This window comes from Homo sapiens, chromosome 8, assembly GCF_000001405.40.
Source record: "Homo sapiens chromosome 8, GRCh38.p14 Primary Assembly".
NCBI classification, from domain to species: domain Eukaryota; kingdom Metazoa; phylum Chordata; class Mammalia; order Primates; family Hominidae; genus Homo; species Homo sapiens.
The window spans coordinates 28,839,130-28,863,464 of NC_000008.11; the positions used below are offsets into that span (position 1 = coordinate 28,839,130).

At 39.8% G+C, this 24,335-nt stretch overlaps 1 protein-coding gene across 15 annotated transcripts in view; it reads right to left on the reverse strand.

Annotated features, from left to right (window-relative positions):
- The window catches only part of INTS9 (integrator complex subunit 9), a 122,309-nt gene that overhangs the window by 71,469 nt on the left and 26,505 nt on the right, over positions 1 to 24,335 (reverse strand). For 8 of the 15 annotated variants that reach the window (XM_047421955.1, XM_011544576.3, XM_047421957.1 and 5 more), the window contains exons 2-4: positions 20,307 to 20,434; positions 11,084 to 11,144; positions 7,618 to 7,680 (exon numbers count right to left, since the gene is read on the reverse strand). In XM_047421955.1, the coding sequence (XP_047277911.1) occupies positions 7,618 to 7,680; positions 11,084 to 11,144; positions 20,307 to 20,434 (252 nt within the window). Of the gene's footprint in view, positions 1 to 7,617; positions 7,681 to 11,083; positions 11,145 to 20,306; positions 20,435 to 22,910; positions 23,084 to 24,335 lie in introns of all 15 variants that reach the window. The other 7 variants (XM_047421958.1, XM_047421956.1, NM_001145159.3 and 4 more) reach the window with 3 other exon arrangements.

Below are 24,335 nucleotides of genomic sequence, written 5' to 3' on the forward strand. Positions count from 1 at the left end.
CGAAGAAGAAATAAGAAAGATGATGTAGAGAGCCAAATCATGAGTGAACTCCCATTCACAATTGCTTCAAAGAAAATAAAATACCTAGGAATCCAACTTACAAGGGACAGGAAGGACCTCTTCAAGGAGAACTACAAACCACTGCTCAATGAAATAAAAGAGGATACAAACAAATGGAAGAACATTCCATGCTCATGGGTAGGAAGAATCAATATCATGAAAATGGCCATACTGCCCAAGGTAATTTATAGATTCAATGCCATCCCCATCAAGCTACCAATGACTTTCTTCACAGAATTGGAAAAAACTACTTTAAAGTTCATATGGAACCAAAAAAGAGCCCGCATCGCCAAGTCAATCCTAAGCCAAAAGAACAAAGCTGGAGGCATCATGCTACCTGACTTCAAACTATCCTACAAGGCTATAGTAACCAAAACAGCATGGTACTGGTACCAAAACAGAGATATAGATCAATGGAACAGAACAGAGCCCTCAGAAATAACGCCGCATATCTATAACTATCTGATCTTTGACAAACCTGAAAAAAATAAGCAATGGGGAAGGGATTCACTATTTAATAAATGGTGCTGGGAAAACTGGCTAGCCATATGTAGAAAGCTGAAACTGGATCCCTTCTTTACACCTTATACAAAAATTAATTCAAGATGGATTAAAGACTTAAACGTTAGACCTAAAACCATAAAAACCCTAGAAGAAAACCTAGGCATTACCATTCAGGACATAGGCATGGGCAAGGACTTCATGTCTAAAACACCAAAAGCAATGGCAACAAAAGCCAAAATTGACAAATGGGATCTAATTAAACTAAAGAGCTTCTGCACAGCAAAAGAAACTACCATCAGAGTGAACAGGCAACCTACAAAATGGGAGAAAATTTTCGCAACCTACTCATCTGACAAAGGGCTAATATCCAGAATCTACAATGAACTCAAACAAGTTTACAAGAAAAAAACAAACAACCCCATCAAAAAGTGGGCAAAGGACATGAACAGACACTTCTCAAAAGAAGACATTTATGCAGCCAAAAAACACATGAAAAAATGCTCACCATCACTGGCCATCAGAGAAATGCAAATGAAAACCACAATGAGATACCATCTCACACCAGTTAGAATGGCAATCATTAAAAAGTCAGGAAACAACGGGTGCTGGAGAGGATGTGGAGAAATAGGAACACTTTTACACTGTTGGTGGGACTGTAAACTAGTTCAACCATTGTGGAAGTCAGTGTGGTGATTCCTCAGGGATCTAGAACTAGAAATACCATTTGACCCAGCCATCCCATTACTGGGTATATACCCAAAGGACTATAAGTCATGCTGCTATAAAGACACATGCACACGTATGTTTATTGTGGCACTATTCACAATAGCAAAGACTTGGAACCAACCCAAATGTCCAACAATGATAGACTGGATTAAGAAAATGTGGCACATATACACCATGGAATACTATGCAGCCATAAAAAATGATGAGTTCATGTCCTTTGTAGGGACATGGATGAAATTGGAAATCATCATTCTCAGTAAACTATCACAAGAACAGAAAACCAAACACCGCATATTCTCACTCATAGGTGGGAACTGAACAATGAGAACACATGGACACAGGAAGGGGAACATCACACTCTGGGGACTGTTGTGGGGTGGGGGGAGGGGGAGGGATAGCATTAAGAGATATACCTAATGCTAAATGACGAGTTAATGGGTGCAGTACGCCAGCATGGCACATGTATACATATGTAACTAACCTGCACATTGTGCACATGTACCCTAAAACTTAAAGTATAATTAAAAAAATAAATAAAGTAAAAAAAAAAAGAAAGAAAGATGATGTGACATAAGCAGATGAAGAGAGGGAGGGTGCCATTCTGGCTATGGGTATTTTCCAGCTGAGTAACTTTACAAATAAAACGAGTAACTTAATAAAGCTGCCAGGCAGCATCGGCCCCCGAGGACAGGATGCCAGCAGAGGTCATAAGCCACTCAGTGCCAGGGTACTGCCATCTGTGTGAACACCATGCCTAATGAACAGCCAACCTATCCCAACCTTCACCCCAAGTTGTGCACTGCCTTTGCAAGACAGTGTCCTCCTCATGAAGGACCACGTAACTGTTTGCTGGTCCTACTCTCCACTACCTCCCCTAGCATCATTTTTAAACAAATAAGGAAATTAAGACAGGGTAGCACAGTGATAGATCCAGAAGAAAACAATGTGAATCACACTGAAGCAACAATAAAGCTAAAAATCATCACCACCAGTCCTCATGTGTACAGAAACTGGGTGAGAAAACTTGAAATTTCTCTTTAAGAACCAGCCCACAGAGTCTAGAATTATAAAAAATAAAAAATTATTCTGTTGGTATATATCAAGAGTGTATGCTTACATAAAACATTTTTCCTCTGAGAAATTTAACATCCAAACCACATTTATATACAGGTAATTCTTGACCAACACAGGGGTCAGGGGTGCTGACCCACTGTACAGTTGAAAATAACTTTTGACTCCCCCAAAACTTAACTACTAATAGCCTGTTGACTAGAAGCCTTCCTGAATAACATATTTAACACATACTTTGCATATATACTATATATGGTATTCTTACAATAAAATAAGCTAGAGAAAAGAAAACGTTATTAAGAAAATGATAAGGAGCCAGATGTGGTGGCTCATGCCTGTAATCCTAGCACTTTAGGGGGCTGAGGTGGGAGGACTGCTTGAGGCCAGGAGTTTGAGACCAGCCTGGTCAACATAGTGAGACCATGTCTCTACAAAAAATGTTTCAACAATTAGCCAGGCATGGTGTTGCACACATGTAGTCCCAGCTACTCGGAGGCTGAGACAGGAGGATCACTTCAGCCCAGGAGGTCGAGGCTGGAGTGAATTATGGTTATGCCATCACACTTCACGCTGGGCAATAAAGTGAGACCCCATCTCAAAAAAAATCATAAGGAAAAGTAAATGTACTTTAGTGATAGTAAAATACATTTCCTATCCATTAAGTGGAAGTGAATCATCATAGAGGTCTTTATTTTTGTCATCTTCACATTAAACAGACTGAGGAGGAGGAAGACGAGGGGTTGGTCTTGTTGTCTTGGGTGGCAGAGGGGAAGAAGTGTAGGAGGTAGAAGGCAAGGCAGGAGAAGCAGGCACACTCAGAGTGCTTACAGATATATGTTGTAATTTGTTGGATGTTTTCACGTTTTCATTTCTCTAAAAATGTTTCTATATGGTATCAATCCTTCTTCCACCATTTTAGTTTCTGTGCCCACATCACAGAAGGATCCAAGTTGTGAAAGAAATCAAAAGCAGTCCTGAATAATCAGAACCCTTCTGCCAGACTGTCTAATGTCAATTTGTTTTCCAGCACTGCTTCTTCTATGTCTCCTTCTTCATCATCTGGCACAGGTTCAGAAGCACTCATCTTGGTCGGGTCATCTTCTGTTAACTCCTCTGGTGTGTTAATAGGCTCCTGAATTTCTCCAAGCTCCATATCTTGAAACGTTTCACCTCCCACTTTTTTTTTTTGTCACATCCACAATCTCTTTCCTAATTTCCTTGACTGGTTCTGTTCTAAATCCTGTGAAGTACAACACCTGGACACAGTTTTGTTTAGCAGGAATTTATTTATTGTTTCAGGCTTCATGGCTCTTTCTGTAACAATGATGGCAGGTTCAATGGTGTAATCCTTCCAGATTTTCATGATGTTCTATTGGGGTCCCCTTCGACAGAGTTGACAGTCCTTTCCATAGAGTACTGTGTGTGATGAGGCTCAAAGGTTCTTATGACCTCCTGATCTAGAGGCTGAATTAGTGATGGTGTGTTTATGGCATTAGACCACTCTGACACCTTTGGAGGTGAACTCATGGGATTATGGGTGGCCAAGTGCATTGTCCAATACTGAAAGAACTTTAAGATGCAGTCCCTTAGTGGCAAGGTACTTCTCGACTTCAGGGACAAAGCATCAATGGAATCCTGACAAGCGGTTCTCACCGTCCAGGTCTTTTTGTTGTACAAGCCAAAGACTGGCAACTGCTGTTTATCTTTTTTCTTCAAGGATCAGGGGTTGGCCACTTTATAGGTAAAGGCAGTCCTGATAAAAAAAACCCGAGTGCATTTGCACAAAACAGTAGAGTTAGCCTATCCCTTCCTCCTTTAAGTGTTAGAACTCACTTCTCTTCCTAATAAATGTTTCTTGTGACATTTTCTGCCAGAATAGGACACTTTCATCTGCATTAAAAACCTGTTCAGGCAGATAGTCTTTCTCCTCAATGATTTTCTTAATGGCATCTAGGAATTTGTCTGCTGTCTCTTGGCTGGAGGAAGCTGCTTTTCCTGTTATCTTGACATTTTTTTAAGCTTTCCTTTTGCTTTGTCATATAGTGATTTCACTTTTTCTTGAATCACATCAGAGTCTACAGGTATGCCTTTCTTATAGTAGACTTGCACCCACATAAAGCTGCATTTCTAATACAAGGTAAAAATGTATTTCACAAGAAGTACAAGTTTTCATGCCTGCTGGTGTAGCTACAGTGACAGCTTCATGTATTTTCTCTTGCTTTTCTTTTCTTCTTCCTTTTTCTTTTTTTTTTTTTAAACAATGGTCCTTTTTTTACAATGGTCCTTATGCTGGATTCATTTGTCTTGAAATGGCGGGCAATATCAGCTGCAGGTTTCAATCTACATATCAGGCACTTCAACTTTTCCTTGTAATGTCATGACTTTTCTTTGCTTCTTGGGAGCACTTCAAGCACCACTAGTGGCACTTCGTATGGGTCCCATGGTTATTCAAGGTTTATGGTACTGCATGAAGCACGACGCAAGATCCATGAGAACTGCGAGAGATCACTCTTTACTGCAATATGCAATTTACAGAGAGGGGAACTGCTCACATGGAGATGACTGGCATCACATGGTGTTTTAAGCGGATACTTGAGCTCCCCACAACAGCAACAGGAGGTGGCTATGAAGTTATATACTGTACTACAGTTTTATGCCTATGATTAAATACTGAATCTTAATGCTTGTTTACGTTTCTTTTGAGTGCAAATCGTTGTCACGTATGGTCTGTAAATGTTGATGTGCATAGTTTTGATAAATTTTAACTTTTTTAGCTGGGCGCGGTGGTTCAAACCTGTTCTTCCAGCACTTTGGGAGGCTGACGCAGATCGCTTGAGCTCAGGAGTTCAAGACCAGCTTGGGCAACAAGGCAAAACCCCATCTCTACAAAAAATACAAAATTAGCAGGGTGTGGTTGTGTGCACCTGTGGTCCCAGCTACTTGGGAGGTTGAGGTGGGAGGATGGCTTGAGCCAGGAAGGCGGAGGTTGCAGTGAGCTGAGATCGCACCACTGCACTCCAGCCTGTGAACAGAGCCAATTTAAAAAAATTATCAGCTGGGCGTGGTGGGTCACGCCTGTAATCCCAGCACTTTGGGAGGCCGAGGCAGGTGTATCACCTGAGGTCAGGAGTTTAAGACCAGCCTGGCCAACATGGTGAAACCCCTCTGTACTAAAAATTCAAAAATGAGCTGGTGGGCACCTGTAATCCCAGCTACTCGGGAGGCTGAGGCAGGAGAATTGCTTGAACCCAGGAGGCTGAGGTTGCAATGAGCCAAGATGGCACCACTGTACTCCAGCCTAGGTGACAGAGCGAGACTCTGTCTCAAAAAAAAAATTTTTCTTTTTATAATAAATTTGTGTATACTTTATGGTGGTAAATGAGAAAATAGACTAGTTTCTATATATATTTTATGCATTCATGACATGCCTAACGTTTTCTTAAGTTTTTTGCTATTTCTAGACTATGCAGTTCATCTGCAAGTTTTTTCAAATTGTCATAATGAAAAACTCCACATGTAAGTGGACTTTCCCAGTTCAAACTCATATTGTTCAAGGGTCAACTGTACTCACATATTTACTTACATATGTTCACTTAATGGAATCCAATAAAGATTACTCTATCTTTAAAACTGCTGTATACAAACACTTGGGGTTCTACAGACCATAAATTCAATCAAAACAACCCTCATTTACTGGTTGCGTACTGTACTGGGATACAAAGATATTTAAGCTATTTGTACTAGTTTGTAAATTTCATGAGGATTGGGACTAAGGCTGCATGGCTCACCCACAAGTCAGTGAAGACTGGGCTATAATAAGTGCCTCTCTCCTGCTTCCATTACTCTCCCATTTTTTTCCAATCATACAAGACCTGGCTCTACTTTAAAACAGTGACTATTACTAATTTGTGCCCTAACATCTTGCCTGAAAAAATGTATATGGCTCTAGAACCCTAAATATATCAATAATCCTTTAGCTTGGCAAAAATGAACTGTGGAATGGTAACTGTCTAATTTAAAAGCTGAGTACCCTATAGAGCAAGTCAGAAAGCCATCGGGACAGCAATTCATAAATTCTACAGTGGTGTCCATAAATGGAAGGTTGCAGTAGTTGGCGTGACACGTGGTCAACTGAAAACAAATGTAGCACCTAGGATTAGGAATCTTCAAACAGATGGGGAATCACCCTACCAATTCCTAAGTCACAAATAAGGATGACAAAATGACTTTGGTTAACGGTGAGAGGGAGAGCTCTGGATTCTTGGATTCTTTCAGCTTTACGCTTACTACTCAATCTCAAACTTTCTCCCTTATCTGACACCTTCAATTACCACATTTGTCTGTGTTTCTTTTTCTATTTGCTCTGGTACCCTCAAAGACACATACACATACTTCTAAGAGAGATAAAAATGTTGATCTACAGGATATTAAACAAAGTGTAGAAATGGAAAGAGAAGGAAGAAGAGAAAACAAAAATCAGAGAAACTGCACTCCAAATTCTTTTTCTCTTTGGTCCTGAATTTGTGGAACTATTTTCTACAGGCACTGCGATCCACTGGGCATGAGGAAAAAAGAGGATGGCAGCTTCTCATGAACCTGGGAGCAGCTCCGGCTTTCCACATTTCACATGTCTGTTAAGAACCGCACCTAGGCTACTCTGGGTATTAGGCCTCTCAGCTGAGATTAGCTGCCTTGAAAACAAATGGAAACTGATCTTAGTTTCCTTTGAAAGGATGAAACTGGCCCCACACCCTAACAGCAAGTCTCACTGTGATAATAATATGTAAGTGATTGTCTTCTATGACTCAGTTCAGAATCTATGAATTTCAAACAATATTCAATATGGTATTTCAAGTCAGCAAGAATTTTTACAGTTTACTAGCAATTGTCAATTACCCACCATAAAGCAAGACCAGGACACATAAGGCTAACCTAAGCACACAGGCATCAGAATCACAAAACTAAAAGGCTTGAGTTAGTTCCTTACCTTGCTCAAAACTATGCCCTACTAGGAGTATTAGTGGGGATTACAGAAAGAACCGGAAATAGGAAGAAGAGAGTGACGTAAATGATTTACAAACAATATAAAAAGCTGCTAAATGATGACATTTTGGCTGTGTAACAATGTGCCTGGAATAACAGATTCATTTAAACTTGAAAACAGGAAGCTAAGCCTCTTAAAATTATTTCTTGACTTCATTTTGAGCAATTACATAATAAGGTTTGTTTCTACAATAAGATTCACCTTAATCTTACCTCTGGTAAACAGAATTCCGGCACAGAATCCACAAATACATGACCCGAGCACTCCTTTAGCTCCTAAAAGAAATGAAAAGGAAAAATACAAGGAAGAGATATCCAGTAGATACAGGACCAAAGAAATAAACTCCCCAAACAAAACTTTTCATGAAGAATCATAGACTACTAGAGCTGGAGGGAAGCTGGGAGGTTATTAGGCCGACTGTCCTATGTTTAGGCTTAGGCAGGCCAAGTGTCTTATTAAGGGTAAAATGCTGTTTGGTTGCAGACTCAGGACTTGAAGGCACATTTTTTGATACCTCTTCAAGAAAGCCATGCATGGGTATGTGCTGCTCCCATAACCCACAATCCAGTGGTTTCCAAATAAGGTATGCAAACTGTACTAGCAACACCAGAATTATGTGGGGACATGGATTACATAAAAGATCCCTGGCCCTATCTAAGACTGAAGGGATCAGAAACTGGGGATGAGGCCATGGAATATGTATTTATAACAAGCACCTCCAGTGATCCTGTTATGCTGTCAGGTTAGGAGTCACAACCCTACATAAACTGTTTAGAAGCTTTTTCTTCACCTACCAAGGGTTGGGAGGAAAGGGGGATGTAAGGAGGGAGAGTTAAGAGCCTGAAACAGGGATTCAACATCTACCACCACCACTACCACCATCACCACCTCCTCCACTACCACGACTACCACCACTACCTCCACCACCACCACCACCACTACCACCTCCACCTCCACCACAACCACCACTACTACCACCTCCACCAAAACCACCACTGCCACCACGAATGTAATGTTTTTCCGTGCAGAACATACCATTTATTTAGCATTATAAACCAAATGTATTTATTCAAAAGAAATAAGCATATGTATAAAGAAATAGATATAGTCCAACTTCTCACCCCACCCATGACTCACCAAATTTAATAAACCTGTCTTTCCCCCACAGGCTGACCCTGAGAAAAGAGTTTGAGAGAAGGTAGTTTATATGGGAGGTGCTGAGAAAACAGAACGGAGAAGTGATCAGTGCAAAGGAAGGTGACAGATAATGGCACTGAGCCACATACAACTTGGGGCAACTGGAACTTATCCCCATGGGGAAACTCAGAAATGGTCTAACACAGACAGCTCTGAGTTATCCCACTGAGGAGCAATGGGGCTGAAATGTTTATATACCAACTGCTGCATTTTGTGCAGCCTCAGGAAAAAACTCTCAGGCAAAGCCATACAGATACCGGCAGCTGGAATTATGACAGAGGACAGTGAAACAGCAAAGTCTGAGAGATATGGGTGGGCTACCAATAGGGTCTGCTACGATGCCTCCTGAAGGCCACTAATGCTTTCTCCTCTCACTGACTTTAAACTGAAGTCCACAGTGAATTTTTTGCACCATTAAGGTTAAAGCTACCTATGACTTTACACTGAAACCAGTAAAAGACAGAATGTGATTGAGTTTCCTTTGCTCTTTCCAGAAAGGGAAAGATACTGTTGTAATTTTTTTCTATTATGTTTCCATTAGTCACTCAACATATATTGTACATATCCATATATACATGTATCTATATTTACACATCAGAGTCTGAATGATTTTACTCTCAATCTTTATCTGAAAATAGGGCATTGACTACATAGTACTGGTCCTTTTGAATTTTATAAGTCTCATATCAGAACCTTGATAGACAATTTCCTCCCCTTGCCTTCCACTGTACTCTCTGGTTTCTCTCCTTAGATGAGTACCATTTAACTAGCGACAGGTGGAGCTGAAAGGAGACTGAACACAGTTCTTAATTACAATGTACCTGCCAGCTAAAAACAAATGAGCAATTATGTTTAATGGGAGAAGACTCCCCACTCCCTTAGGATGAGGTTAAAAATGATTAAAGACAAATCATGGGAAATTTCAAAGCTTTGCCTGGTCTTAAATGGGCTATGTAATCTTCTTCCCCATAATGCTACATTTCAGGACAGGGCTATGATGAAGTCTCCTCACAGGCTCTCATCCTTCCCGGCCTGCAGAAGCATATTTGCCATTCCAAACACTTACAATGTCACTGTATTTTATTCACCACTCCCTTCTAATGAAATACTCCCACATACACATGCAAGTCATTTCGCTCACAATGCGCTGGTAATGGGATGCTTCGGAGCCTTCTGCAGGGAACAATGATTTATAGCCAGCAGGAGACTCAGGCTGAAATCAGGTGCACAGGTTTCTGAATGTCACATAATTTTACAGTCAGCTCTGAAGAAAATCTGGTGTCAAATTATGCATTTGGCTTGTACTTGAGGCTAGGGTGCAGTTACAGGAATTAATTCTGTAAAAAGGGCACCTCTTTATTTAACAGTATCTATTACAAGAGAAAATGCCTTATTTAGATGAATCATGTTAAGCATCTTTAAACTCTTTAGTTTTTCAAATGTGAAACTTAGGAAAGGAAGAATGATTTAGGGGACTAAGAATTGGCCTGAGGGGGCTTTACAGTCTTTAACCTTCTTATACCTCTGATTTTAGTACGAAGTTTGACTAGCTTATAGTTGTAACATTTTTGGTAGCTTTAGTCTTTCATTTATTAAGTTAACTGTCTAACTATTGATCCGAGGAAGGAATTACTGAGAAGATAACCTAATGTCAAAAATTTAATAGCCTCAAAGAGAAAGAAGTAATTTAAGCCATTTATTTTAGGTGTAGTCAGTCATTAAAGTCATAATAAGACTCCATATCCCAGAGTCCTAGAACTGTTTTTTTTTTTTAATCATCTATAAAGATTGTCCATTCTAGGCTATCAGGACAGGTTGAAACGGGATCACAGATCATAGTGTCGGAGACCCACTACTCAAATTTACCTAAGAGTACTGTCCCCTGCACAAGAAGGCACTGCTGGGGAAGTCAAACACTCTGCTCCTGGACCGTTCCCCACACAGTGGCCAGAGTGATCCGATCTGACAATGCCACTGTCCTTCTGTAACCTTCTGTGGCCTCTCATTACCCAAAAAAGACCCAAGCTTTTTACAAAGCCCTACCTGATCTGACCCTTGATAGAAGCAGTTTAAAACTCACCTGCTTGAGGATTTTAAAAGTTATTCAAAAAAAGGTTTTACTCTTTGCAATCACAAAATGAACTGGATTGAATTCTTTAAAAAGCCTTGTCTTTGAAACACTCATTGCAATTCTAGAAATAATAGTTGTCTTTCTGTGGTGATAAAAGGTATTTGCAGCAGAAGTACTTAGATTTCTACACATGAGCAAAATGGATCTGAATCAGAACAATGACATTCTCTAAAAACATGCTTAAAAACAGCAGTTACCATGTTCTGAAGACCCTAGCATAGATCTTGGGGATTTTCAGAGAGGAAAAAAAAAAAAAGCCATCAGTCACACTACTACAGGGTGGCTCTGGTATGAGAAGATAGCTTTCCACTGGCTGTAGATAGGCTTTAGTTTGTAGTCTTAGATATTACCTTGTCCAAGAAAGCATTTCCATCCTTCAGGGACCAGCCAGGAAGATTGGACAGCCTGGGACTGCAAAACAAAAGATTAAGATTAAATTAACCTAAATAGATTATAATCCTCAATGACTTCATGGTAACTTACTGTCTCCATAAAGTTAAGAACAGTTTAAAATTACTGGCAGTAGTTCTTACCCTAAATTCCAATAAAAAATAAGAGAAATAACCATGTTGTATCAAGCTTAAAAATTATGTGGCAATAGGATATTAAAAGGTCAAATAGTTTAGTGGAAAATTGGAAAAACTAAAAGAATCCTATGCAAAATAATAAAGAAAAAAGAAAGATGAGACATGAAAGCCTTTTATAATTGTCCAATCACCCTGTCTTCTTTCCCATGTGTTTGACAACAGTCCTTAGGACAGGGCAGAATAGGCATCATCTTATTGCAGATGAAAAAACAGATGCAGAGAGGATAGGAGCTCTGATGAGAACACTGCCCTGCTATCTTCCCATCAGCATTCACAACAAACACGAATACCCGAATTCCAGTCCAATCCACGCTTTGGGTTCACAGCTTTACAAGTGGATTAGTCACCTGTCACCTGTGACTTGAGTTTCCAATTCTGGAGAATGAAGCTAGTTTTCCCAAGTGTTACAAAATGACACCATGTCTAAAGTGAACAGCTTCTAGCAGATGAGGTCAATTTCATGTATATGTTACATTTTAAAAATCTGAATTAAAAAATCATTTGCTACTAGTAATCTCAAGATTTAACTGTGTTCTACTAGTTGACCAGAAGAAATATAATGCAAGCTGAAAGTGCCAATAACTCAGGAGGGAAAACAGTATGCTGGTAAAAGTAAAAGCTTAATGAAGAAGGCAATGTGTGAAGAAAAAGCCAACAGGATTCCAAGTTGGATGGTAAAAGGATTTCAGCACTCACTACAAAATTAACTTCTGTGATGCAAAAGTTAAGGGCAAAGTAAGGGTGCGGGACTAAAAGAATCAGAAACCAAGTATCTCTAAGGTCCCTCTTCCTCTTCCCAAAATAATTTGATCAGATGCTAAGTCTGTAATTAGATGATAGGTATGAAAGTCAACACAAAAGCATAAATATGTGAATATCTGTCAATCTTTTAGAAATGGTGAAAAACCTGAATAAAATATAAATGCATCTATTTTCAGAAAAAAGTGAGAATTGGGGGTGGGGTAAGTTTGTTTTTGTTTTTGTTTTGTTGTTGTTGTTGTTTTTTGAGACAGAGTCTCACTCTGTCGCCCAGGCTGGAGTGCAGTGGTGCAATCTCGGCTCACTGCAACCTCTGCCTCCCGGGTCCACGCCATTCTCCTGCCTCAGCCTCCCGAGTAGCTGGGACTACAGGTGCCCGCCACCACACCTGGCTAATTTTTTGTATTTTTAGTAGAGATGGGGTTTCACTGTGTTAGCCAGGATGGTCTCGATCTCCTGACCTCATGATCCACCCGCCTCAGCCTCCCAAAGTGCTGGGATTACAGGAATGAGCCACTGCACCCAGCCGGGGGTGGGGGGTAAGTTTTAATTATTAGGTTGGTGCAAATAATTCTGACATTAATTCCAAACTTACAGAAAAGTTGCAAGGATGTGAATACAATGGACTCCCACATACCCTTTATCTAGATTAACTGTTTACATTTTGCCTTTATTTATCCAAAAGTGAGAATACCATTTCATACTAGAGAATGAAAATCACTACTGGAGGCCAGGTGTGGTAGCTCACACCTGTAATCCCAGCACTTTGGGAGGCCAAGGTGGGAGGATCATTTGAACCCAGGAGTTTGAGCCCAGCCTGGGCATCATAGTAAGACCCTGTCTCTATAATAAATTAAAAAACTAGCAGGCTATGGTGGTACACGCTTGCAGTCTCAGCTACTTGGGAGGCCCAGGAGGAAGGATCGCTTGAGCCCAGGAGGTCAAGGCTGCAGGGAGCTGTGATTGTGCCACTGCCACAAAGCAAGATCTTGTTTTGAAACAAGACCCTGTCTCAAAAAAATAAAAAAAGAAAATCACTACTGAGAGAATCAAATTTGACTGGTATAAATCACACCTGATAAACTCTTTTTTTTTTTTTTTTAAACTCTGGGAGTTTTTAAAAAAGTTTTTAAAATAAACTCTGGGAGTTTTCTGCTGTAACTTTTCAGAAAAATATGCTATTACCATTAGTTGTTTTAATTCCCGTCTCATTTCATAGTCATATATTTTGAAGACTTCTCACTTCTTGAAAAATATATTTGCTATCAGATCAGATTAAGAAAGCAAGCATTCCAATAAAAGTGTAATGACAAGACAATGTGGACACTGTTCTTATTTCATGCATGTTAACTCTCTAAAACAAGGTTGTAACTATCTACTTCCCTTTACAAAGAGAACTGGATCAAAGGACACACACTCTGTCCGTTCCCCATCAGACCCACACAAATCAGATGACAGATGCAGTTAGTTGTCCTCAACAAATGTTTAGAAATAGTAAGTTGCTTATGAGAATATAACTAATTTTTTAAAAAGCAAAATTTTGAGGTGTTGTGGTTTAAACTCCTGGAAAACATTCTTTAATAACATCAAGGCCACCTATTATACCTGGGTGGTTACTTTGGGTTAGAGCCACTGCTAGTAGATGAGACTGAATGCTCAAAGGAAATCATGACCACATTGTGACAACAGTGCCAATGACAAAGGGATGCAAATACATCACCACATGGCAAAGACATGCTGACTATAGAGATGAAAATATTTGCTTACTGTGTTCCAATGAGTTATCAAATAAACCATAAAGAGTAAATTTTAAGAAACCAAAGGGGAAGGGACTTATTTTTTTGTTTTTAATGATTACAAAGTTCGACTGTGTAAACTTTGTAAATGAGGAGATAGAGATCTTTCCACAGAAATCTAATAAAATGGCTGGGCATGGTGGCCCATGCCTATAATCCCAGCACTTTGGGAGGCCGAGGCGGATGGATCACCTAGGTCAGGGGTTCGAGACCAGCCTGGCCAACATGGTGAAACCCTGTCTCTACTAAAAATACAAAATTATCCACGTATGGTGGTGTGTGCCTATAATCCCAGCTACTTGAGAGGCCGAGGCAAGAGAATCACTTGAACCTGGGAGGCAAGGGTTGCAGTGAGCCAAGATGGCGCCACTGTACTCCAGCCTGGGCAAAAAGAGCAAAACTCCATCTCAAAAAAAAAAAAAAGAAAGAAACAAAGAAAGAAAATCTAATAAAATATGGGAGGTAAAGGTACCAAAAAAATGATTATAGAAGAGCACATCTTTGCACCCACTATTTTACTAACATTTCTTAGGAAAAAAGGATACCATTAAAATTTTTAGTCAAAAAATGTATGAAAGATTTATTTTTAAAGTAATTGTTTATTTTGGAAAAATAGGTAAATTATTCTAAGATTTCTGTGGAAAGATCTCTATCTCCTTGTTTATACAGTCGAACTTTGTAATCATTAAAAGCAAAATAACCTAAGACAAGTAATCTATTGCCTAGGAAAATACTGAAGAGAAGATTGAACATTATACGTAATTTCTTTTTTTTTTTGTTTTGTTTTGAGGCGGAGTCCCACCTCCTGGGTTTGCACCATTCTTCTGCCTCAGCCTCCCGAGTAGCTGGGACTACAGGTGCCTGCCACCACGCTCGGCTAATTTTTTGTATTTTTAGTTAGAGACAGTGTTTCACTGCGTTAACCAGGATGGTCTCGATCTCCTGACCTCGTGATCTGCCCGCGCCTCAGCCTCCCAAAGTGCTGGGATTACAGGCGTAAGCCACCGCGCCTGGCCCACAATTTCTTTTTTATTTTTATTAGAGACAGAGTCTTACTCTGTCACCCAAGCTGGAAAGCACTTGTGTGATCACAGTCCACCACAGACTCGAACTCCTGGGCTCAAGTCTCAGCCTTCCGAGCAGCTGGGACTACAGGTACATACCACCATATCCAGGTATGAAATGTGTTACTTTTATAATCAGAAAATAATAGTGAAAGAGGCATGAGTCCATTCATTCATTTATTCAAAAAATATTAACAAGCTTAATACTCAGTGCAAACTGTTGGAATGATAGTAAATAAACAATCCTTTCCTTTCAAGAGTTTGCAATCTAGTATAGGGAGAGAGTCATTACACCAGAATAAAATAAGAGCTCTGACAGGGGTACGCAGGAGGTGCCATGGGTTCACACAGAAAGGGCACTTTTGACAGTTTGCAGTGAGGTGGTAGAGCAGAAAACAGGAGTTAGGAAGTGAAGGTAGAGGAGATCTTTCAAGAAGAAGGAAACAGGGAAGAGCCTCATCACAAGGTGCAGTGTTGCAGGCAAGTGAGGTGTTCATATTTTCACTCACTGAATCTTTATTCGCGTGTCACTTTAGGAGTCTTTATTTGCATGTCAAGATGCTGGTGATAGGACTAGGTGCCAGCGATAGGACTGTGAGCAAAACACTCCCTCCTCCTGAGGAAGCAGGCAAGGCACACAAATCCAGTCAGCATGCAAATTGATGGGGACAAGTGGAGGCAGCATCAAAAGATTTCCCTGGGGACATGAGGACTGAGTTGAGATCTGCACAGGAGCAGAGTCAAGGGGAAACTGAGGGCAGGGCCTGAAGGAATAGAGAAAGTTTAGCTCCCACTTACAGGTGAGAACATACAGAATTTGGTTTTCTGTTCTTGTGTTGATTCACCAAGAATAATGGCCTCCAGCTGCATCCATGTCACTACAAAGGGCATGATTTTGTTCCTTTTTCTGGCTGTGTAGTATTCCATGGTGAACAGCCCAGCAGGTTCCTTCAGTCCTTCTCACCATGAACATCTTCCACGAGGGTTATTCACATGGAACTTTGAGCAGATTCCAAGACACTCCCTCCCAGTCCCCATCCAGCTAGTCCCCATCATTATGTCCTTCCTACATCAAAACTGTAGTCATAGATGATCTCACAGAGTCTTCCAAGCTGGAGAAACAATACATGTGACTGCTCTGAAGGAGTCAGAAGATTTCTTTGAAACTATTTAATAGAAGGAAACAAAGAACAAGAGGCAGAGTATACAGAAGGTACTGGAGGGGCAGGCGTGAAGCCTGATACACTGAGATGAGTGTGGTGTTTATCCTAAGAGCAATGAAAAACCACTGAAAGGTTTTAAACAAGTAAGATAAAATTTGATTTGTGCTTCTACAAGATGACTGTGGGGAAAATGGAACCATGTGCCTTCTGATAATAGATACTATCATTGGCATGGTATTCCTACCAAAAACAGTAACCCCAACCTAATCATGAGGGAACATTAGACAAACCCAAATTGAAAGTCGTTATATGAAATAATTGGCCATACTCTTAAAAACCTCAAGGTCATAAAAGACGGACTGGGAAAGTCTTCCAGATTAAAGGAGTCTGAAGAAATGACAGCTAAATGCAATGTGGATGGGATGTGGATGAGATCCTGGACCAGAAATTACCATTTTTCTCTTTTGCTATAACGGGTTACATAGTGAATTATGACTTGGTAAAAGTGCAGACATATGTATAAGGTATACAGATTAGACACTGGTATACTATCAATGTAAATTCTCTGATTTTGATTTTTGTACCATGGTTATGTTAGAGGATGTCCTTGCTCTTTGGAAATATACTTAAGCATTTATGGGTGAGGAGGATCATGCCTGCATCTCACTCTCAAATGGGTCAGAAAAAAATTATGTGTATACATACCAAGAGGAAATGATAAAGCAAATTTGTTAAAATGCCAATAAATTGGTAAAGGCAATTAGGAATTGCTTGTACTATTTTTGCAGCTTTTCTGTAAATCTGTAGGATTTCAAATAAAAAGTCACACAAAAAAGATGACTCTTGATTGAGACAGGGTCAAGATGAGAATTGATGAAACTGGTGAGGAGGCTTTAGTAATGATACCTATAAAAGACGAGAATGACTACAGCAGCACTGAAGAGAAGTGACTGGATTTTAGAACTATTTAGAAGGTAAAAGTGTCAAGGCTTAATCAAAGACTGAATATGGAGCAGGGAGGAAGAGGGCTGAATCAAAGTTAACTCCCAGTTTTCTGGTTTTTATAAAAGGATACCATTTACTAAGATAGGAACTTGAAGAAAACCCTATCTGGAAGGATACATTTTCCTCTTCTGGACCCAGTCTGATCATGAAAAAAGGTTTGAGGGCATGTTGAATTTTGTTTTTGTTGTTGTTTTTTTGAGACACGGTCTCTCTCTCTCTCTGTCACCCAAGCTGGAGTGCGGTGGCACAATCATGGCTCACTGCAGCCTCGACTCTCTGGGCTCAAGTGATCCTCCTGCCTCAACCTCCCAAGTCAGCTAGGACTACAGGCACACACCACCATGCCTAGCTAATTTTAAAATTTTTGGTAGGCATTTTGGACACATCAATCTGGAACTTGGAAAAGAGTTACTAACTAAAGATACACATTTGTAAGTTGCTGTTTGGACGGTTATTGCAGCTCTGAGCAATTTACTTTTTGTTATTTCAACTTGTATTTAGATTCATAGGGTACATGTGCAGGTTTGTTACCTGGTTATATTTCATTATGCTGAGGTTTGGGGTACAACTGATCCTGTCACCCAGGTAGTGAGCATAGTAGCCAAGAGTTAGTTTTTCAATCCTTGGCCCCTCCTTATCTAGCCCTTCTAGCAGTCCCCAGTGTCTACTGTTGCCATCTTTATGTCCACGTGAACCCAATGTTTAGCTCCCACTTACAAATGAGAACATGCGGTATTTGGTTTTCTATTCTTGTGTTAATTCACCAAGAATAATGGCCTCCAGTTGCATCCATGTCACTGCAAAGGGCATGATTTCATTCTTTTTTTATGGCTGGGTAGTATTCCATGGTGTATATGTACCACATTTTCTTTATCCAGTCCACTGCTGAGGGGCACTTAAGTTGCTTCCATGTCTTTACTATTATGAATAGTGCTGAGCATTTATTAAATGCCCTTAGTGGAGAATATGATGGGGCCAAGCAATGAACACCGAAGATGTCAATACATGATGGCCAATTAGAGGAAAACACATCTCCAAAGTATACAGAGAAAGAAGGGTCACAGAGGTAAGAGGAAAACCAGGAATGCATTATCATGGAGGTCAGTGCTGCTGAATGGTCAAATAAGATGAGGACTGACAAATGCCCATCACATCTAATAACATGGAAGTCATGTGGGGCCTAAGAGGTTCTAGTGGAGTGGTGTGGGCAGAGTGAAGACTGGACAGGGTTTAGAAATGCTGAAGGGGAAAAACGAATTGAGAGAAGGTCAAAAATTGTTTTTTAAATTTTAAGTTAAAAGTGAATGATTATAATTAAATGACAAGATGGAAAAGTCCAAGACAAACCAAAGATATAATAATTTAATTAATTAGTTAATTATAATAGTAAAAGGACTCTGAAAAAGTGACGAGTATGGAATACAGAGAAGATAAAGCAATTCATTCATACAACAAATACTTACTGAGTAGCTACCACATGCCAAGAATAGTTCTAGGCAGTGGGGATACAATGGAGAACCAAATTCCCTGCCTTTATGAAACTTACATGTAGTGGAGAAGAAAGACAATAAATATGTACTTATAATGTAATAAGTGCTACGAAGACAAAGCAGCTGAGGGGATAGAGAGGGCCAGGAATACCATTTTAGGCAACCGTGTCCTGGTCTGAGCAAAAGGAGACATCTTTTGTAAGAAACCATATGGATAGCTAACCATTCTCCTAGTAGAACTTCCCTCTGAGAGTGAAAGAATGGGAAGGGGAAGAGAGGGAACGAGAATTCCAGTGCTGAGCCAGGACCATGAGAACAGTAGAACTGGGTAAGGATGAGAGTGAACAGGAACGGGAAAACATGCAGCTGGGATTGTCTGCCCTCGTCCAGTTCTCATCACCCAGGAAATTCATGACCCCACAGAGCAGGTTGGGCTCCCTTTTGGAATCTCTCATGGTACCTTAGATTTTATTTTTAAAGTAATTATCCTAAATATATATACTTGTTTTCTAGTCACAAGTGTAATTAAATCTTCATCTGTGTGATGTCTTTCTCCCTGATAGACTAAGTTCCATGAGGGAAAGTAGGTTATTCTGTTCATCTCTAAATCCTCTGGTCCAGAACAGTGCAGATTTTTAAGAAACATCAAACAAACAAACATTTTGCTCTCTGGGGGAAAAAGACAATAATATCAGGCCATTTTATTAGGAAATAACCAATTGTCATGTAAACAAGCTCCTCCCAATCCAGTTTTTGGGCAATATCTGTGGGTGGCACATGTATTTCTAAATGCTGGGTGTAATTATAACTGAATTCCATCTGCTTTGCATAAAATGTAATCTGGAATTATCTCTGACTTTATCCTTACACCACCTTACTGTGCCCCTTATCTCAGAAAAATCAATAGCTGATGATAATTTTTCTAGATGGTTCATCGGGTTATCACTGTGAATAATCATTGTACTCAGTGATGTCTTCAGGAATGACTGAGATAAACTAGAAAGCTTACCCAGCTTACTATGCTTTTGAGCTCTTAAATCTGCTTTAGATAGCTTTTCCATATCCTATCTTGTATGTGGTGTCACTTTTTGCTACTGTAAGTATATTTGCTTCAACAAGGTAGCCACTTCTTCTATAAACTGTTTCTAAATAGTAGTATGCTGGGAAACCAATTTCCTAAGGCAAAGTCTTATTTAAGCATAAACAGTGCTATTGTAGGCCTGAGGCAATCTGTCTCATTTAAGATATGAACTTGGGCTACATATGTGGTTCTAAATCTAAAGTTGACTTAGTATGAAAATAATGCACAGATGCCTGTCAAAAAGAAATGTCAGACTCTATGCTGTTAAGTCTCTGCAAAGGCTGCTAAATAATTCTAAAATTCAATTCTTGGGCTCAGCAGTTGACCATTTACCAGCTCTTATGTGAATTAGCAAGAAAGATGAAATATACATGACCTCAGTTGTACTGAGCAGTTGCAGGAACATTTTACAGAAGCTCAGAAGAAGTTATAATAAAGAAGCCAATCAATAAATCAATAGAACACTTTCCATCAGCTCAGCCAAAGGAAATTATTTTGATAAAGAACATTTTTAAGGAAACAAAGCAAACTTACGACAATATACTAGGTACTAGTAACCTTCATACTAATGGTACCATTTTTCAGCAAACTTAAAGCTCATTTTGTCTTTGGCTGCACCAGCACATACCTTTGAACAAGTGGCAAAGGAAGGAAATTGAGGGTAGAAGTCATGTCCAGTCCGCAGTCCAACATAATGGTGGTTGATTTGAATTTGAGCACATTGCATGGTAAGGTTGGGTGCCCTGACAGGCAATACTGAAAAAAATTAAATCACTTTGATCAGTAATCAATTACAGAAGAATCCTACAAAGTAAAGTGAATTAAATAACTCTGACGATCTTCTCTCATAAGACCAGCGTGTTAAGTTCAGCTAACTTTCTATGTGGTTTCCGCCCTTTTACTGCTTGGGGACTACTTTCCCTAGCCGTTCAAAATACTCAAAATTCTCAGATCACACCCATCTGTCTTTTCACAGGGTGCCAAGGCAAGCCCGGTTTTACATGGGCCACAGTTATTCAAAATAGAAGGTTTCAAGGCTATGGTTATTCATTCCGTTCTCACAAGGCACTGGTGAATTATCATTTTCCCCTTTGTATGTAAGTACTGTCTAAAGCTGTGGATGTCAATGAAACTCTAAGCTGGACACTCAAACTGTGCTCTAGGTATGGTTTTCTCCCTTTGTAAATAAGTGACCTTCCTCAAAGAGGAACTGGTTAGAAAGGTTAACTAACAAGCATGAGTAAAGGTTTATGCTCAGTCTTGTCAGAAGAAATGACTCAAAAGGACAAGTGACTTCCCTGATGTGCAGACACTAAGCAGGAGTGTGGGAACCTACTTCCAGACAAGTAGGAATCTCTTGCCTATGGCAGCAGAGCTCAGAAGTCAAAGGGGCACAAGCCACAATGGTGTCTTCAAAGGAGAGTGAACACAACACACTGACCCGAAACATTTCTCATGTTCTCCTCAATGTTGTGGCAGTGACAGATCTGCCACACTGAAAATATCTATATGGGACATGCTCTGCCACCTTTAATAATTCTATTGCTGCTCCGAAGAAAAGAAATGGAAGAAGACCCTTTCCCAACTTTTAAAGCCCTCCCTTGAGCAACAGAGCCCAGAAAACAAAGGGAACAGTGTGCTGAATCCACTAGCAAGTCCATTCTCTCCTTTTTTTTTTTTTTCCCTTGAGATGGAGTCTCACTCTGTTGCTTAGGCTGGAGTGCAGTGGTGTGATCTCAGCTCACTGCAACCTCCGCCTCCCTGGTTCAAGCGATTCTCCTGCCTCAGCCTCCCAAGTAGCTGGGATTACAGGTGTCTGCCACCATGCCTGGCTGGTTGTTTTGTATTTTTAGTAGAGATGGGGTTTCACCATGTTGGCCAGGCTGGTCACAAACTCCTAACCTCAAGTGATCCGCCCGCCTCCTTGGCCTCCCAAAGTGCTGGGGTTATAGGCGTGAGCCATGGCGCCCGACCCTCTCCTGATTTAAGCACAAAGACAGCACGAGTGAGAGTGAAGCTCCATCAATGCCCAGCCCCATATGGCCTCAGTCACTTAGGCTAAGTCTTTCCAGGTATTTGTTGCTCTGTTGGTTCTATCTTTGTAGTGGATGAATTTTCCACTTTTCTCCAGAGGATGTTACAGGAACTGATAATTTTTTGAAAACTGCATGTTCTAAAAATGGTAAGGCCAAGAGCCAAGAAGTTGTATTTTGCAAGCTGCTTCTTCATTCCAAGTTTATGTATGATGATTATATTTTACCAAACCAAAATTCACAACTCATGATCTGAAAAGATATAAGGCACTTACGATAAAAACAATACAAATTATTTAAAACTGCAATTGTCCTGAAGAAGTCTAGGATCCATGATTTTGGTAATTACACTTTACATAAGTTCCTTCTTTGATAGGTATCAGGATTACAGAAAATTTTTTCCTCCTAATTAAGACAGAGATATTCCTGTCCCCACCCTCCATCTGGTTCCCTATTGCTACTTGGTCTTTATCCCCATCTAAGAACTATTTGTTAAAGATAAACTATCTCAAAATGAACACAAAGCATCATGTTAAACTTGCTCCAAATATAGCAAATGTTCCAGGAAAAGCTTTCCTATATCTCTCCTTTCAAAAATAAGAAAAAATCAGATATTCAGAAAAGCATGGAAGAAAATAAAATGAAATGTGTGTAACAGTTATTTCTGAGTGGGAAGATTATTGTCCGATTTTCTTCTTTCAGCTTTCTCCATTTTCCAAAAGTTCAGCAATGAGCTTTTACTACATTTTTATAATCAGAAAAAAAATGTGATTAAAACAAAACAGACAATTTAGCCAGCCACATTGAATGACAAAATATTTTTTGTCTTCCTCCTTAATTCTAAATTATGGAGGATAAGGTACACCAGAAAACAGAATATGTAAAATTTTTAAAAGCTGATGCTCAAAAGATTTCAGCAAAGAAAGTTCGCTGGAAGACTTTACTTTTGTTACTGTCCTTAAAGGCCAAAGGCCAAAGGCCAAAGTGAGGAATGCTAACGGCTACCACCGAATGGAACAAACATTTTCAGAGCACTGACGAAAGGTGCCAGGCACCGAGCTCATTCGCCTTATTTGTATAGATGAGAAGGTTGAGCTCTACCCAGTTTCAGAAGCTTTTCTGGGAAGAGCTGAAGACACACAGCGAGGTCCCTCTGACTCCAAAGATCCCACTCATGCTTCCCAAACTGCACTGCTCACCGTGGGTCAACTGAGTGCACGGGAGCACAGAGTGGCTGCCTGAGGTTCACACACTTGTACAGGAGGCGCTTGCAAAGGGCCCAGACCCTGTGGCCTCCAGCGATGCTCTTTGTGCAATTCCAGTTTTCTTCCTCTGTCACCAAGCAGCATATCATCTACTGAGGGTTATGAGACTAAGGCACAAAACCAGTAAGTAATTATGGAAATAAAATTATCTACAATCACACCAATCTGATTATCATTTTTATATTCCATCTTTTTTCATATTTGTAAAAGCTGTAATTTTAGTATTCACACTGCTGTGTGTGCTGCTTCAACTCTTGATGACTATGTTTTCCTCATGTTACATGACACTTAATTTTTATTGGCCTAAGTAAATATACCATGGTTTGTTTGGTCATTCATTCCCTTATTGTTGAACATTGAGGGTTGTTTCCTGTCACCCTACTATCACAAGCATGGCTGTGGTGATCACTTTAGTGCGTAAGTCTTTTTCCATACTGGACTATTTTTTTAAGATGATTCCCAGAAGTAGCACTAACTGGGTCAAAAAAGATGAGTATTTTATGGCTCTTTCAATCTGCCAAAATGCTTTCCAAAAAGGACTGTACTTATTTACAATGTCATTGGTAATATATCAGAAGATCTGTTTCACTGCTCAAACCCATGAGCATTATATTCAAAACCATTTAGAATCTGTACTGAAATGCAGCTATCACCCTAGTAGTAGCCATGTAGAGGTAATTAAATGACCCTAACCAAGGAAAGTTAACTATTTGATAAGTGGCTTTAGTTCTGAGAGGCAGTTTGGTGCAATGATATGAAGTAGGGAGTTTGAAGTTAAGACTGCCTGGGCTCAAATCTTGGCTGCACTCAGTGTTAATGTGTGATTTTGGGAAAGTTACTTAACTTTGGACTGTTAAGGTGCAGTAATAGAACCTATCCTTGTAGCAGAGTTGCTGGGAGGACTAAATGAATGGATACACTGCCTGGTACACAGTAAGTGCTCTTAGTTACTATCAGTTATAAAATCATTAAGGGGCTGAAGAGGTCATTTAAGTTTGGATGGAGTAATTTATATTCTACAGCGGCATTCACTAACATCTTTACATGTGTATCCCCTAAGACTAGGTGAAGTGAATGAACAATTTTATAAATAGTTCCCATTTTGCTGGTCTGCTCTTCAGGAAGATAGATCCACTAGTAAGTACAGAATAATCTTTATTTTTTTCTAGCTTAACAAGCCCATAGCAATGCTTTCATGTTCATTTTATTCCTACTTAATTAAAAAGCTACAAGTTTTTCTGTGATCACAATCTACAGTTGGCTCTCCATATCCATGGCTTCTGCATCCAGGATTCAACCAACTACAAATGGAAAAATATCTGAAAAGATAAAACTACAAGTAATAAAATATAACAATAC